Consider the following 17,107-nt stretch of genomic DNA (forward strand, 5'->3'; position numbering starts at 1 on the left):
TCTCTGCTCACTGCAACCTCCTCCCCGCCTCGGGTTCAAGCGATTCTTTTGCCTCAGCCTCCCCAGTAGCTGGGATTATAGACTCCTGCCACCACGCTCGGCTAGTTTTTGTATTTTTAGTAGAGACAGGGTTTCGCCATGTTGGCCAGGCTGGTCTCGAACTCCTGACCTCAGGTGATCACCCCCCCCCCCACTTGGCCTCCCAAAATGCTAGGCTTACAGCCATGAGCCACTGCGCCCGGCCATTTTTCTTTTTAAAAATAAACTTTCCAGATCTTAATTTCATGGCTTTAACATTTTAAATGTTTGAGGTATAATCTACTCATTCTTGGCTCTAATCTTTTTGTCAGGGAAGTTAAACTAGTGAGAGACCTATGAACAACAGCAACAATTTAATGAGCACGTCTTATATGCCAAGCTTTGTGGTTAAGCACTTTGCTTTATCTCACTTAATTCTAACTATGGTCCTAGAGGTTGGTATTACAACTAATCTCCTTTTACAGAGAGTTACTGAGACTTGGAGAGGTTAAATAACTTGCAGCCAGGTCACAAAATTAATCACTGAGTTGAGACGACAATTAAGGTATGGCCGACTCCATACTGCCTCCTAGCCGTCTCCTCGAGTAGTTCATGCCCTGTTAACTTAAGTCGTGAAGCTGCTGGTGTCAAAGCATTCCTTTTGCAGTTTCGTGTACTAGGGTTCTGGGTGATTTTGCACATATTTATTTCAAAGATCCTCCGTACCACACCAGGGAGTTTACCTTCTGGAATGTTGTTGAAGCCCCTGTCCTCTATGCTGGGACACTTTCATGCAACGTTTGCTTAGCCAGACTCAGGAAAACGCCTTTTTTTTTTTTTCTCATTTCCCTGCACTCCACATTAAACACAGAGGTAGTTTAAATCACCTGGTAAAAGAAGATGGGATCACAAACGCTGTGGTCCAGAAGGGAACATCAGTAAGTCGGTTCACCGCTTGCAAGTGGGGGCACTTACATATAAATGAAGAAAAAACAAGTTCTTAAAAAGCAGCCGACCCTGGGTTCTTAAAAAGCAGCCGGGGAAGAGGGCTCAGGGGACCGGACGCGGTGCCCCGCACCACGCTAGGCCTGACAACCGGAAGAGAGGGGCCAGGAGGGGCTCCTCCAGAGCGACTTCGGCTCCAGTAGGGAAACCGCCGAGGCTCCCCCAGCTCCAGGGAGCGCCGGGGACGCAGGCGGGAAGCCTCCATCGGGCAGCCGGCCTGGACTCACGACGCGGGGTGGGGCCGGCGCCCGCCCCGCCCCTCTCCTCGGGGATGCCGGGATGTTTACACTCCTGACAGCGGCGGCAGCAGGAGGAGGATCGGGAGTCGCGGGAGGATGGGCCGCCGCTAGGCTCGCACTCCGGACGCGCCTCGCAGTGCGCAGGGTGGGTGCCCCGCGCCTGCAGCGTCCGCCGGGGCGGCGCGGCGGGAGGTGGCCGACAGGCTCCGGGCCTCGCAGCCTCAGCCCCCGGCCCAGCGCGCTTTCCGACGGCGGCGCCGCGCCGAGCCACCCGCCCGCCCAAGGTCTCTCGCGGGCGGGAGAACGGAAAACTCCCAACTTCCTGGTGAGTCGCTGCCCAGGGTTCAGGCGCCCGGACCGGGCAGCTCCTGCCGGGAGGGGCCGCCTGCGGGAGTCGGGCCGGGAGAGGGAGGTCGGGACCGCGCGGGGCGGCCTCCGGGATACCCTCGCTCGGGGTAGGTGGGGCGGGGCGCGCTGCGCTCGAGGCGGATGGGGGTTTCGGTCTTGTTCGTTGGCAGCGGTGGGAGGGGGCGGCAGGAAACTTCATACCTGGCCCCGGCTCTAGAGGCCCGAGGCCGCCAAGGGCGCCGCGGTAACTAAGAAACTCCGTGGCCACGGCGGCGGCGGCAACAGGTCTTTGGTTTCGGGACCCGAGGAACTTAAGCGAAGTCCCGCCTTCCGGCGGATGCTCATTGGCGACGTCGGTTATTTATCTCTCGCGGATTGGTGAAGTCCGTCTGTCAGGATTCGGCAGCAGCCCGACTTAGGAAAGTGAAGTGCGCTGGGAGAGAGTGGGTGGTGGGAGCCGGCAGATAGGGGAGAATCCGAAGTGGCTTCAGAAGTACAGGGAGCGTGAGAGGTCTGTCGGAGAATGAACTTGGGAGAGACTCGGGATTACAAAATGTCGGAGAGAGGGATTGCGAGGCAATAGCGAACATTGCTGGTGATGGTGGCAATGGAAAAGAAATTGAAAACTGAGGCCAAAGTCAGAGAAGGGTAGCCAAAGGAAAACAGAGAAAAGTGACAAGACCGTATGACCGCAGAACAGTGTAAGGAAGCGAGCACAACCTAGAGGATGCTGCCTTGAGAGCTAAAGAACTTCTGTTGCCTCTGTTACACTGTAGGCCTTCACTCCTAAAACCGCAGCATCCTCTATTTAGTCTTGCACTGGGAGCGTACTGGGGTCGCGGAGAGATGATGTATCGTGTTCTCACCTTGCTGTAGTCCTCACTGGGGAGAAATGCTAAAAAATATACTTAGTTTACAGTAAGATACATGTTACTGTCCTTGCGCAATTCTGGTGACTGAACTGAAAATCAGAAATACACAGAAATAAAATGATTATTCTCCTTTGAGGTTACTGAGCTCAAGGATGCAATTGAAAACACCACATTTCCATAGTTTGTAGAGCCTAATGTACCCATCATAATGGGAACCACTGTTTCTAGTTCCTCCTCCAAGGAATTTACAGTTTCAAGGCTATGCACACTCCCTCCAGGCGACAGCAGTATGTCTTGTCAGGTTGCATTAGAGAATTAAAGTACAGAGTATGTGTATTATAAATATGTTCTGTTCAGGACCTTGAGCTGCTGGTGGTGTGGTCGAAGAATGGCATAGTCCTTGCACTCAAAAGCTACAGTATGTTTGGGACAACCGGTCAAACCCTGAAAACGGTGAACAGTAAAACAGGAGATACAGTTAACCCTCTAATGCTTTGTGGCAACTCTTGTTGAATGGCCGCTGAGTATTCTTGGTTTGTAACACTTGGTGATGGCCAAGTGCTCTTGAAACAGCTAACTTAAAATCTCAGCAGTTATTTTATTTCCAGAGGAAGGAATTCTCTCTCCCTCGGCGAGATCCAGTCCACAGCTTGCTTCACTCTTAGAACAGCGGCATCCTCTATTTGGTCTCGCACGGGGAACTTGCTGGGGTAGGGGAGAGGTGTTAGAGCTTTGAAAAAGCTTTGCCTCTCGGAGGAGTCAAAGGGGCAGTAACTGTATGGGGTGAGAGGAAGGCCTGCGAAATAAAAAGGCAAAGGAACCGTTTGAGGAGGCTAGTTGCCTTCTCGGGGCCGGTGTGTGTGCGGGGGTAGTGTTAAGGGGGAGGAAGGAGCCCGGGAGCCCGGAGGACCCTCCCGGAGGTGCGGGCCTGAAATTCCGCTGGGTGCCGGGAGGCTCCGCCCTCCGGAGTACTGACGGCCTTCGCAGCCAATGCGCAGCCAGGACCTCGCGTTCGGGAGGGCGGGTACTTCCTACTCCAGCCCTGGGCTCGGAGAAGGCCGCGTTAGTTCTTTTTCTAGGGATGTCTGCGGAAGGGGCGCCAGGCTGAGGGCCAGCCTGGAGAAAGAAAGAAAGGAAGGAAGGAAGGAAGGAGGAGGGGGGCTTCAGTTTTCCCTGAGCCATCCTAGGTGTCCCGTTTCGTGATTCAGCTGCACCTAGAACTTAACTACTACTGAAAGTTTATAGTAGATTAGAAGCGAAGTTGGTCAGCAGACTAAATATAGTCCATGTGACTGAGGCGGGTTTTACTCTGAAATTACCTGAAAATGAAAACCACTAAATGTCAGAATCTAAATCGTTAGGCGTTTTCACAACTTCTTGGGAATCTTTCCATGGTTAAAAATCTTACCAATTTAACAAGACTAACTTTATTTCTAAGCGTACAGACTCATTTTATAGTCTGAACTAGTATTTAGGTTTATTTATTTAGATAATACATGTAGCACCCACCATTGCTTTCCCCCTTTCATATTTTCCTGTCTGGACAATTTCGAGTTCATTTCCATCCCAGTAAAACAGCACTTACCCAAAGAATGAGGAAAGCACATATGGTATGATGGCAGTGTACTAGTAGAGGAGGGGAGATTTGATGCCTCTATAGCTAACATACCTGATTAATAAATTTAAAAAAAAATTGCATCGTAATGACCAGAAGTCCAGTGCAGTTACAGTTTGTGTAAATAAGTACTTAATCTCATAAGGACCTCATGCCCCAAATCTTTCCTGGTGCTTGCAGTTGATAGTTTTGGGCTCTGACTTACTGTAAACATTTAAGTATTCTTTTTTTTTCCCCTCAATTATTGCGCATTTACTGAAATATAGACTTCTTTTTTTCACTTAAATATGTGGTCTGAGATATCATTAGAGACTTTTACAGTGTTTCCAGAACTAAACACTATTTTCCTAGGAACTATCTGATGTTTTAAGAATGTACCTCTGTAGTATTACAAATGTCGCCACCATTCAGGGTACCTGAGAACTGGGCCTGAGAGCAGGGCCCAGTTAAGTGTTAGTGATTACGCACTTTTGGGGAAAAAAAAAGTAGGTAATTCCAAAATTTCTTTCAGGTTTTGTTTCCCTTGATTTTTTTTTTTTTTTAAATAGGCTTTGGTATTTTAAAAATGCACAGTGTAGTATTTAAAAAATACACAGTGTAGCTGCAGCTGCAGCTGCACAAAACAGCACTCTGTCCTCATTCCCGGTTTCATTCACATTTAAGTGTTTACCCCTTCGAATTTTTGTTGGAAAACTACGAGGGTAGGTATTTCAGTGCATCGTCTATAAAACATATTAAACTTAATGTACGACTTAAGGGTGTCTTGGAAATGCCATGTATGATTACTGTTTGCTCCGAATTGTTTTATCAGCACTTCATCAGGATTTATGTAAATATATAGCAAGATGTTTTAAGACGCATTTCTTTACCCTTTTGAGACTTTTTCAATTTAATTCTCCCCCCTCCACCCATTTTTGTAGGGAATATGGATGAATAACATTTGGTTACATAATTGTAATCAAATATATGCATTTGTATAATATAATGGCAGTTCAGAATTTTTAAATTGATACAATTCAATCTCAGAGTTATAAAACTTCTAAACTGCTGAATTCTCCTTTGGTAATTAATAGTTTGATTATTCCTAGGTGTTGTGTATTTTCACAAAATTTTTTTTATTCTGAAGAAAACACTTACAGAGTATATTTCATGCTTTTCAGTGGGCAGTGGGAATGAGAAGGACAGATGATCATGAAGCATTCCTTAATATTTTTGAGCAGGATAACTTCTTTTTTAACCTTTGTCAAAATAACTGCCCTGCCATACTATTTAGGTAATGAGGTTATACAATGAGTGGTTTTGTTGTAATAGCTATCAAAGTGTTAAGCGGAACAATATATAAATGAATAAAACTGATTTTAGTGGTCTATAAAAATTGAGAAATACGTGTTTTCTGTTACATAATGGAAATAGGCCTTTTTGTAAATCTTATTAGTAGTCTTCTGTTGGTAGTGGGTAAGGGCTACTTTTTCAATCCAGTCTGCTTTTTTATAGAATAGTGATTCACAATTTTTTTCTCTGAAGGATCACATGGTAAATATTTCTGGCTTTGTGAGCCCTGTGATTGCATCTGCTGCCATTGTAGCCAAATACAGTATCTGACCAAGTGGGCATAGGTGTGTTCAAATAAAGCTTTATTTATACAAATAGGTTGGTAGCTTTCCCCCACTCTAGAAAATAATACCAGAGGTCTAAATGTGGTGCTATGCCATTGATGTTTGGGTTGATTCGGAATTTTCCACAACAGCGTTTTATAATTATTTTTGTGCTTAGACTCTTGTGACAATTTGTTGATCTTCCACAGTTCCCTCAGAATAATACCCAGCTGTCCATTCCCAAATTTTGTGTTTCATTTCAGAGTTTGTCAGCATAAGAACCTCTTTTAGGTTTATCCATGTTTTCAGGTTTCTTCACCATTCTTTGCTTCTGGAGGATCCCACTCCTATCCTGTGACATTGAATGAATGCCTGTCTGTGGCTCCCTGCTTCTGACTAAAGCGACATAGAATCTAATGTCAGTCATTTGTCTTTACTAAATGAAAACTACTAGACAAAGAAACATACCAAAACTTACTCATATGTTTCTTTGTCTAGTAGTTTTTATTTTAAGCCTACTGGTATGACTACCTTTGTCTACTTTAGAGGGAATTTTTGACATAAGCAAGGGGTTGGGCAAATTTTTTTCTTTTTAGGAAACATTAACTTAGTCTTTCAAAAAAGACTCTCCCCCGCCCCAGTAAAAAATATTGGAAAGAGCCTGTGCTTTAGCAGAGGGCCTACAGTCAAGGTATGTTTGGCCTGGGGTAGAGGTACTTCTGACCTTTGCTCTGAAAAGAATTAGCTGTAGACTTACCTGGGTGTAGCTACTGAGTAGCATAGAGCAGAATGGAAAATGCAACAGCTTTGTGAAAAAATTACACAGTACACTTTCTCAGCTCTAGTCAGGAGTGGGTTTTGTGTGTGCTGGACTTTTGACCCCTTAGCCCTCGGGGAAGCCCAGGTAGGACCTGGGACAATCAGAATTCCTGGCTAGTTGCCACCAGCTACAAGCAGTCTCTTCTCTTTATCTGACCCTGCTGCACATATATTATCATTATCTGTGTTTACCATGATGTGGAAAAGACTAGGCAGAAAACTCCAGGGTTGTCATTGCCTACTTTATGACCTTGGTTGAGTTGCTCATTTTATTCAGACTGTAGTTGTCGCAACTCATAAAGTTGCCTTGAGGAGTAAATGAAAATACCTTTGTAAATGTATGGTAGCAGGCCCAGTGTTAGTTTCATTTCACTTACTTCTCTATTCTTAGGACCTTCAGGGGTGGGAAACACATCTCCTGTTGTCAGTTTGTTCTGATGACAGGCCCTGTCACCCACTCTGCCTTGGCCCAGTTTTGTCTTAATGGGCTGCTTCCCACTTCTGCCATTTCCACTTCCTCTGCTTGAATTCTCCTTTTCCTTTGCCCTGTGATTTCCATATTCAAAATTTAATGGTTCCTACATTTGAGTTAGTTTTTATGACTTTCTTTGGAGTGTGGGGAGAGCCAGCAAGCCATAGTTTCTCAGGCAGAAAAAGGCACAAGAGGCTTGGGGGGTTATATTATGGACTACAAATAATGTGAGTTGCAAAAAGATCTTTAAATACAGATTCAAAAAATTGGCAAAATTAAAAATGTTCTTCCTAGCATGCTTAAAATTGTTTTTTTAAATTGTTGAAATATTTCCCCTATATCCTTATATTTACCTAGGTGAATTACTATACATTTTATTATGGTTATAATCATAACAAAGACATATGTCCTTATATTATGGTTGGAAAAGTTGAATAGATGTGTTTATGAAAAATTGTTATACTTCTAAAATGTAATGAATTCCTAATCTTGTATTGCCTTTATATCTAACTGCTGGACCATATAGTAAAGTGATATGATACCGGCACAGTGGCTCATACTTGTAGTCTCAGCACTTTGGGAGGCCAAGGTGGGAAGATTGCTTGAGACCTGGAGTTCAAGACCAGCCTGATCAATATAGTGAGACCCTGTCACTACAAAAAATTTAAAAAAAATTAGTTGGGCTTGGTGGCACGCACCTGTAATCCCAGCTACTTGGGAGGCTAAGGCAGGAGGATTGCTTGGGCCTGGAGGATGGCTTGAGTCTAGGATTTCGAGGCTGCAGTGAGCTGTGATGATGCCACCGCACTCCCACCTGGTGACAGAGTGAGACCCTGTCTCTAAAAAAAATAAAAAAAAAATTAAAAAAAGAGACACCTAGAATAGGTCATTTGTTTTATGCAAATAGTATATCTTTATTCCAAACAGTTTATTTCTAGGTGTGGTTTGTTAGTCAATAAATACATGTAAATTGAAAGGTCTTATATAAGAAGATTTTTCTGGGGGGAGGATTGGTTTATGGAACGAATTATTTCTTATTTTTCATGGCAACCTACAAATTGACTTCCTTTGTTCTCATCACCGTCTTTGTTGTTAGAATATGTTTAGAGTAGTCTGGTGGTAGGTGTGGTATTCAGTGAAAACTGACATTTTTTTCCATTTTCAAAATGCATTTAAAATAAAGTTTTAATAATGTATTTACTGTTAAGAAATATTTTTTATTGTTGAATGACATATTGTTTTCACCTTCACTTTTATGGCTTTGAGTATTTACAATATCAGCTGTTGGCTGGGCACTGTGGCTCACACCTGTAATCCCAGCGCTTTGGAGGCCGAGGCTGAGCAGACTGCTTGAGCCCAGGAGTTTGAGACCAGCCTTGGAAACATGACAAAACCCCATCTTTACTAAAAATGCAACAACAACAACAACAACAAAAAATCAGCTGTCAGTAAAGATTGTCTTTAGTTACATAGTTCTCCCGTTTACTCCTCTAATCACTTTTTTTAAGTGGAAAGGAATTTGTTACTGAACATTTAATAGTATTTAATGGTTGTGAGGGAGTTTGAGCTTCCAGCAGAATGTCCCAGTACCAGGCCCCCAAGGGAGTTTCTGCCTCTTCTGTGATCAGAAGTCCACCGGTCTAGGGCCATACAGCCACTGCTCTGGTCAAGACACAGTTACAGTAAGAAAAATCCTGCTATTTGGGGGACCCTAGAACCATACCCTGCCTATTGTGGTCCAGGAAACAATGCTGTGGGCCCTAGCTCTATACAGGCATTATTCAGAGATATTGCAGGTTCTAGTCTAGACCACTGCAATAAAGTGAATCTTGCAATAAAGCGAGTCAGATGAATCTTTTGGTTTCCAAGTGCATATGGGAGTTAGAGTTACACTATACTGTAGTCTATACAGTGTGCAATAGCATTATGTCTAAAAAATATACATAATTAAAAAATATTTTATTGCCAAAAAATGCTAACGATCATCTGAACCTTCAGCAGTTCATAATATTTTTGCTGGTGGAGGGTCTTACCTCAATGTTGATGGCTGCTAAATGATTACGGTGACGGTCACTGAAGGCTGGTGGCTGTGTCGTTTTCTTAAAAGTAGACAACCATAAAGCTTGCCACATCAATTGACTCTTTCTTTCATGAAAAATTTCTCTGTAGCATATGATGCTGTTTGATAGCATTTTACCCAAAGTAGAAAATCTTGTACAATTGGAGTCAATCCTCTCAAACCCTGCTGCTGCTTAAAAGTTTATGGAATATTCTAAATCCTATGTTGTCATTTTAGCCATGTTCACAGCATTTTCATCAGGAGTAGATTCCGTCTTAAGACGCATTTTCTTTGCTCATTTATAAAAAGCGACTCCTCATCCATTGAAGTTTTATCATGGGATTGTAGCAATTCAGTTACATCTTCAGGCTTACTTTTAATTCTAGTTCTCTTGCTGTTTCCACCACATTTGTAGTGACTTCCTTCACTGAAATCTTGACTCCCTCAAAGTCGTCCATGAGGGTTGGAATCAACTTCTTCCAAACTCCTATTGACATTGATATTTTGACTTCCTCCCATGAATGACAATCGTTTTTAATGGCATCTAGAATGGTGAATCCTTTTCAGAAGGTTTTCAGTTTACTTTACCCAGATCTATCAGAGTGATCACTGTTTATGACAGCTATAGATTTAAGAAATGTATTTCGTATTCTTAGATAAGAAGACTTGAAAGTGGATTATTCCTTGATCCGTGGGCTGTAGAATGGATGTTGTGTCAGTAGGCATGAAAACAACATTAATCATCTTGTATATTTCCATCAGAGCTGTTGGTGACTAGGTACATTGTCAATTAGTAGTCATATTTTGAAAGAAATCTTTTTCTGAGCAGTCGGTCTCAACAGTGGGCTTAAAATACTCAAAAAACCATGCTGTAAACTGATGTGCTGTTGCCCAGGTTTTGTTTTTCCACTTATAGCACACAGGCAGAGTAGATTTAGCATAATTCTTAAGGGCCCTAGGATTTTCAGGGGATGCTAAATGAGCATTGGGTTCACCAGCTGCGTCAGCCCTTAACCAGAGCCTGTTCTTGAAGCTTTGAAGCCAGGCATTGACCTCTCTCTAGCTATAAAAGTCCTAGATGGCATCTTTTTCAAATAGAAGGCTGTTTTATCCATATTGGAAATCTGTTGTTTAGTGTAGCCACCTTTATCAATGATCTTAGCTAGATCTTCTGGATAACTTGCTGTAGCTTCTACTTCAGCAATTGCTGCTTCAACTTGCATTTTTATATGATAGAGATGACATATTTCCTTGGACTTCATGGACCAACCTCTGTTAACTCCATTTTTTCTTCTGCAGCTTCCTCACCACTCTCAGCCTTCACAGAGCTGAAGGGAGTTAGTGCCTTGCCCTGGATTAGACTTTGATTTAAGGAAATGTGACTGGTTTGATCTTCTATCCAGACCGCTAAAACTTTCTCTGTCTCAGCCGTAAGGCTGTTTCACTTTCTTATCATTGGTGTGTTCACTGAGTATCACTTTTTTCTTTTGTCTTTTTATACAGATGTTTTACTCAATTATAGAAAATTTTAAACACATTCAAAATAAACAAAATAGTGTAATAGACCAGCTCCGAGCTTCAGCAACCACTGATAATGTACCATTTTGGACTAGCACTTTTAATTTCCTTCAAGAACTTCTCTTTTGCATTCACAACTTGGCTGTTTGGCTCCAGAGGCCTAGCTTCTGAGCTACTAGCTTCTGACCTGTCTTGACCTTTGACATGCCTTTCTCACTAAGCTTAATCATTTCCAGCTTTTGATTTAAAGTGAGAGATGGGTGACTCTTTCTTTCACTCGAACACTTGAAGGCCATTGTAGGGTTATTAATTGGCTTAATTTTCATTATTGTTGTGTCTCAGGGAATAGTGAGGCCCAAGGAGAGGGAGAGAGATGGGAACGGCTGGTGCAGTGAAGCAGTCAGAACATTCACACACCATGTATCGTTAAGTTTACCGTTTTATTTGGACATGATTCATGGTGCCCCAAAACAAATACAGTAACATCAAAGATTGCTGATCACAGACCACCATAAAAGATATAATAATAGTGACATAGTTTGAATTATTGCAAGAATATCCAATATGTGACACAGAGATATGGAGTGAGCACATGCTATTGGAAAAATGACACTAACAGACTAACTTCACATAGGGTTGCCACAAACCTTCAGTTTATAAAAAACACAATGTGTGAAGCACAATAAAATGAGATATGCCTTCATTAGTTTTCTGTAACTGCTGTATCAAATTATTACAAACTAGATGGTATAAAACAACAAATTTATTCTGTCACCATTCTGCAGGCCAGAAGTCAGAAGTCAGGGTGTTGACAGTGCCGTGTTCTCTCTGAAGGCTTAAGGGAGAATGTGGCTCATGCCTTTCTCTTAGCTTCTGGTATTGGCAGCAATCCTTGTCTTTCCTTGGCTTGTGGATATATCACTCCATTCTCTGCCTCTGACATGCAGGTTCTTCCTATGTGTTTTCGCTTGTGTCTCTTCTCATAAGGACATCCTCATGACCTCACCTTTGCTGCCTATCACTCTTACACTTAAAATTCAACAAGCAAAATCTATGCTTTTCTATTCAGATTCTTTACTTAGAAAAGATTTTCAAATTTCTGATGTTTTTGGTCTTAACAGCAGATTTTAAGATTGTGCGGAGGTTGTGTCTGAGAGATAAAGGCACCCAAGGCATCTTATATGATATGCACTCATTAACATGATGATGATAATAACAGGAGAGAAAATGCCACTTCAAGCAAGGTGAAAGAAAATAGTACATCTAAGTGTTAGTTTTAGTTCCTTCTCAACCAAACGGTCCCTTGTTACTGGACTGCTTAGGCTGTGTACTGTTCTCACCATTTTTGGCATTTTTACAAAATTTCTCTCAACTGGGTGTGAAAGCTTACCACTTCCCTTGCTCCTGAGGTGTTTTTTTGCACAGGGGCAAAAGCTCTTTGCCTTGCCACTTAGAGATTTTGCCTCTAGTTACCATTACCTACCTGTAGTTCTCTATCTTGTTTCACAGCTCGACTGCACCAGACTTTTCTGTCTTGCATGTCTGGCCACGCTGGAAAGTGTTCAAGAACATTATGATGAGTAACCTGTTCCTTTTTCCATGACTGTCTTATTTCCATCTGGGACTTTGATAACAAGTGACAGGCACTTGAGTCCCATCTAACTTCCCTCCTTGTCAGTAGATACAAGCCTTTGCATTCAAGTGTTGCTCTTTATTCAAAAGCCTGTTTGGCAATTTTAAAACTGTTTTCTATCAGCGATTTGTTTTCACCTTTTAAAAAAATTTGGAGTTTATAAACAGCACAAGCCCTTGTTGTTTATGACCATTTCCCCTTCTCTTTATTTATTATAAGAAGATGCAGCTTGACATAGAAAGTTTTCAAATCGTGGGTCAAGTCCAGGTGTATTTTTTTATTTTTCAAATGCCAAACATAGGTTCTGACACTTAGTGTGAGCTAAATGTAATATATATGGAACTCAGTTTAAGAGTTGAGTGCCTGGCCTAGGGGAGAGTGATTTTGTGGTTAATGATTCAGATAATATAAGAAGCATGGGCTGTAATGATGTACCAACGGTATCTGGTTAGAAAATGTTGAGACTTTTGTCTCTTAGTGTGTGGTCCCTGGCAGGGCAGTACTACCATTCCTAGGCCTTTTTTGTTTGTGTTGTGGGTTGTCATCCCCAGAACGTCAGCATTTCCACATTTTCCAACTTGTGAACTTTGTGGGGTATTTGCATATGCATTTTGAGAATGTTTGAAAGATGATCCTGTTGACTGCACAGACTTGGTGTAAAGTCAGTTTCAAATTGAGGTGAGCCTTCTCTGAACTTGGGAGGCATACTTGCCTGAAATTTGAGGATAGACCGTGTGATCTTTGGAGCCTTCTGGCAGCTGTAAAATGAGTGACTCTGTGATTACATTCCCTTTATAGTTCATCTTTTTGTTTCTTTTTTTTCTTTCCATTTTCCAACTTGGTCTTATCAATCCACAGACCAAAGAAAGATAAATTTGGGAGTTGTTGGTAGGTAGCTGAAAGTGAATGAAATGATTACAATTAAAAAAGGGACCATAGCAGGAGTGAGAGAGAAAAACCTAGATGGCAGTGGCAATTTTAAGAGAGATGTAATGGCTGGAATAAAGTAGGAGGAAGAAAAGAAACCTTTAAAAACAAAGGAGAGGAGTATGCAGAACATATGGGAAAGGAATATGGGGAAGCAGCTTTCTGTAATGTTTACTCATTTGAAAAGATTATTCTGAGATTTCTCTGTATTATAAAATTAGTATATAGGTTGCATAGTTGATTCATGTGCATAATTTATAGTTTAAAAGTAAAGTGGTCAGTACATATGGCTTAGCTCTATGTGTTAGTTTTTAAAAAAATCTACATTGTTTTGAGTGTTTGGTTATTAATAGTTTATGGATATAACTGCTGCACAGTAGTAACTCCTTCATCTACTGGAAGGAAGGTCAATTTTTCAGTCATTAGAAATAGGTAGCTAAATGAGATGCTTCTTATTTTTGCTTGGAGGTGCCAGGTTTATTTGCCAACTTTCCACAGTTAGAAAGCACTTTGGATCACCACTGTCAGATATTTAGATTTCTTTTTGAGTCTGGAGGATTGTATTTCTTATCAAAACAAATATCCAAGTTTATGCTTTAAAAATATTTAAGTTTTTATTAATTGCAGAATATGAGAATAAAGGAACGACCAAATGCTGTACCATATTGCCTGACTCACTCTGCCACTAAATGGAGCCCCACTTGATCCTCACCTGGCTTTCTAGATTATTTATTTCCTGTATATTCCCCTACATTTTAGTCATATCTAACAACTTACTGGGTTTTTTTTTTTTTTTGGAAAATTTTGTACCCTTTCTGGCTTCTCCACTCTATGCTTTTCTCACCACTTTAAATGTCCATTTTCCATATGTCACTGTTCAATCTCAGTGCATTAAAATAATCTTTATCCTTTAAGGCCCTGCTCAAGTACTATACAAAAAAATACAAATAAACCTCTTTCTTCTGCTTCTTTAAGCCGTTAGTACTTATTGAGTCTTGTTGTAGTTATCTTAGCTTCCTCTCTGGAGCATAAGCTTCTGGAAGGTGTGAATCATGTCCTGTACAGATCTGTGTTTTCTGTAGGGCCTAGGACCATTCTTGTCAGAACTTGCCATTTAAAGAATGGCAGATGACTGCTTCCCAGAGACTACACTTGACAGGAGGTCTAGGCAGGTCCTAGCAGTAAGGGAATGCCCAGAACAATTGAGCTGTTGGTTTCAGGAAAGGTCTAGGATGAATGCCAGGCACACGTCTCTGCAAGGCCCACAGAACATGGTATGAAGGAGGTCTTATTGTTTGAAATAGGTAAAGGTCTAATCTGTGAATGGTCACTGTCAGGATATTCAGGGATCTAGTCTGAGATGCTTGGTTTTGTATCTGAATTCTGAATTCCAAGGTCTGAAAGATCTCAGAGTGGGGTGAGATAGGAATCAGGACTAGGAAAAACGAGTGTGTCAGACATGAACTTGGTGTGAGTGGGGAGGAGTGTGTGGAGACCAGACAGAGACTAGTTTGGCAATTAAGTCTAAGTTAGAGGCTCGAGCAACAGGGAATAAAGTGAGAGATAAGTCCTGGAGTTAAGATATGATATTAAAACATGACAGGCAGTTAGATTAAATTGACTTGAAGCTGATTTGCTAAGCTGTTGACTGAGTATACTTAAATTTCCTTTCCTTAGAGCCCAGTTCATTCCTAGTTCTAGGTAAGTCGTTTGGCTTTCTGTAAAGGGGTAGGAACCTTTTTATTCCTTAAAGGTATGACTATCTATTTGCCAATTAATTCCATGTTCCAAGGATCCCCTCATGGAGAAAATGTTGCACTGAGTTAAATAAGGAAATAACTGGACGAATACTTGAGATTATTCCCTTCATAAGAATAATTACTAATTGTGAATTGATGGTTTGAATACCATGCTAAAATGATTGAACCTCTTTTCTCTTGTGAAGTGATTGTGAAGTTACTTGTACCTTTATGTTTTTAAAATTTGATGATAATAGCAATAAAAGCTTTAGTGCTTTTATGATCTCTTTATTTGGTTTGTAGTTATGGCACATCAGAAACTCGCATCAAAATAGAATCAAGATTATTGTAAAAGGGACCTCAAACGTAGATTTCTTAAAAAAAAATGTTTTTTATTTTCAAGATGGAATCTTGCTGTGTTGCTCAGGCTGGTCTCAAACTCTTGGCCTCAAGCTGTCCTCCTCACCTTAGCCTCCTGAAGTGTTGAGATTACAGGCATGAGCCACTGCACCTGGCCAAAACATGTATTAAGAAAAGTTTGGTTTATGAGATATATGAAGGAATTAAGTTCAGACTTGAAAATTCATACTTCAGTGAGACTACAGTGTACTTAAAAATTACCAAGAAAAGGGCTTATGTCTTTTTTTAAATAAATAGAACCCTCTGTAATGTCTTCTTTCTTTTTTTCCCTTCAGATTTAAAATTGAGTTGAATTTATTTATGCTTTTTAATTTTTTTAAAGAAATGCTTCTCTAGCCAGTTCTAACTAGGTTTTTTCCTTGCTTAAAGTCCTTCAGTTACTGCCTTCAGAATAATTTCTAACCACTTAGTCTCTTAAAAATACTTTATGGGCCGGGTGCAGTGGCTCATGCCTGTAATCCCAGCACTTTGGGAGGCTGAGGTGGGTGGATCACGAGGTCAGGAGTTCGAGACCAGCCTGACCAACATGGTGAAACCCCATCTCTACTAAAAATACAAAAATTAGCTGGGCATGGTGGCGCACTCCTGTAATCCCAGCTACTCCAGAGGCTGAGGCAGGAGAATCGCTGGAACCCAGGAAGTGGAGGTTACAGTGAGCTGAGATTGTGCAACTGCACTCCAGCCTGGGCGACAGAGCAAGACTCCGTCTGAAAAAAAAAAAAAATCAAAAACCTTTATGATTTTGGCCTTGGCATTTTCCTCTGCTGCATCCCATGTTCCTGTCTTAGGGCACTGGTTGTAGTTCCCTAGTTATCCCATGATTGAGTCTGGAATGTCCCACCTCTTCTCCTTTGCCTGGTTAACTCCCACATGCCGTAAGACTCACCTTGAGTGTCTTCTCTACAAGGCCTGCCTGACCCTGACAGCTTGCTTGGATAATCCTGACATCCTTCCTGTGAACTCATGTAGTAGCAGTACCCAGTGATGGTGTCTGTCATCATACTTGCTTCCTTATATTGTAAAAGTCTGTTTCTGTATGTCTCCTCTGGGAATAACTTAAGCTATCGGAATTGCCTTAGTTCTTTTTGTATTCCCAGCAGCTCTGTGGTAGACATATCAGTAATGCTGAAAAACAAAACAAAACAAACAAAAACGAGTTAATGAATGAGCTGGAGAAGATAAAGAGACAGGAGTCTAGGTTAGCCCACAGTGTTTTGGCTGGGGTGTGGATTGGTGCTCTGAATAGACCATACCAGCACTCTTTTCTCCCTCCCCTTCTCTCTGAACTTTGAGTAGCTGTGACTTTTTATTAAAATGAAATGAAATAAAGAAACTAGAAACTTAACTTTCTTGCAGACTCTTTGGACACTTAATTTATGTCTAGGTGTTTCCTGCCTTGTTGAGGACAAGGATGTCTTTTCACCAAAGATAAAGAGCTCTGCTCTCTTCTTCCGTTGGAATATTTTCTAATTCTTTTTCAGTTTTGACTCTGTAGTTTTTCATAAGCAGTAGGAGCATGATCATGAGACTTAGGAGGAGCAAACTTTGTCCCAGTATAGTTTAAGAAATCTCATATCTTTATACAAAATATGTTTGCAGCTGAACTTTACATACCATCTTGGTGCTGAGACAGTCAGATAGGTCCTCCTGTGTGTATAGTGCCTACAAATCCCAGGAATATGAAAATTGTATAGATTCCTAGTTGCTGGCTAGAGAAGTGAGAGTTGAAATGTTCTAAGATATAAGGAAATGCAGGTTTTGCCTTAGTTATATATAAAGTTGTCATCATAGAGCCTAGTGCTGAAGAGCAAAGGAGAAGAAATATTAA

General features: G+C 41.5%; 1 protein-coding gene across 15 annotated transcripts in view, besides 5 other annotated features; it reads left to right on the forward strand.

The window, feature by feature from the left end:
* Positions 495-554: an enhancer, noted in NCBI's record as "active region_2279". NCBI's record gives its function as "activates an Ori minimal core promoter by ATAC-STARR-seq in GM12878 lymphoblastoid cells {active_cell/tissue: GM12878}" and the evidence as "EXISTENCE:reporter gene assay evidence [ECO:0000049][PMID:35858748]".
* Positions 1,145-1,744: a silencer, noted in NCBI's record as "silent region_1665". NCBI's record gives its function as "represses an Ori minimal core promoter by ATAC-STARR-seq in GM12878 lymphoblastoid cells {active_cell/tissue: GM12878}" and the evidence as "EXISTENCE:reporter gene assay evidence [ECO:0000049][PMID:35858748]".
* Positions 1,309-17,107, forward strand: part of NEK7 (NIMA related kinase 7) — a 165,423-nt gene continuing 149,624 nt past the window's right edge. For 12 of the 15 annotated variants that reach the window (XM_017000345.2, XM_047446562.1, XM_047446567.1 and 9 more), the window contains exon 1: positions 1,309-1,587. The gene's annotated coding sequence lies outside the window, so the exon portion shown is untranslated. Of the gene's footprint in view, positions 1,718-17,107 lie in introns of all 15 variants that reach the window. The other 3 variants (XM_047446560.1, XM_047446563.1, XM_047446572.1) reach the window with 1 other exon arrangement.
* Positions 1,985-2,034: an enhancer, noted in NCBI's record as "active region_2280". NCBI's record gives its function as "activates an Ori minimal core promoter by ATAC-STARR-seq in GM12878 lymphoblastoid cells {active_cell/tissue: GM12878}" and the evidence as "EXISTENCE:reporter gene assay evidence [ECO:0000049][PMID:35858748]".
* Positions 3,574-3,793: an enhancer, noted in NCBI's record as "active region_2281". NCBI's record gives its function as "activates an Ori minimal core promoter by ATAC-STARR-seq in GM12878 lymphoblastoid cells {active_cell/tissue: GM12878}" and the evidence as "EXISTENCE:reporter gene assay evidence [ECO:0000049][PMID:35858748]".
* Positions 10,332-10,431: an enhancer, noted in NCBI's record as "active region_2282". NCBI's record gives its function as "activates an Ori minimal core promoter by ATAC-STARR-seq in GM12878 lymphoblastoid cells {active_cell/tissue: GM12878}" and the evidence as "EXISTENCE:reporter gene assay evidence [ECO:0000049][PMID:35858748]".

This window comes from Homo sapiens, chromosome 1 (genome assembly GCF_000001405.40).
Source record: "Homo sapiens chromosome 1, GRCh38.p14 Primary Assembly".
In the NCBI taxonomy this organism is placed as follows: Eukaryota; Metazoa; Chordata; class Mammalia; order Primates; family Hominidae; genus Homo; species Homo sapiens.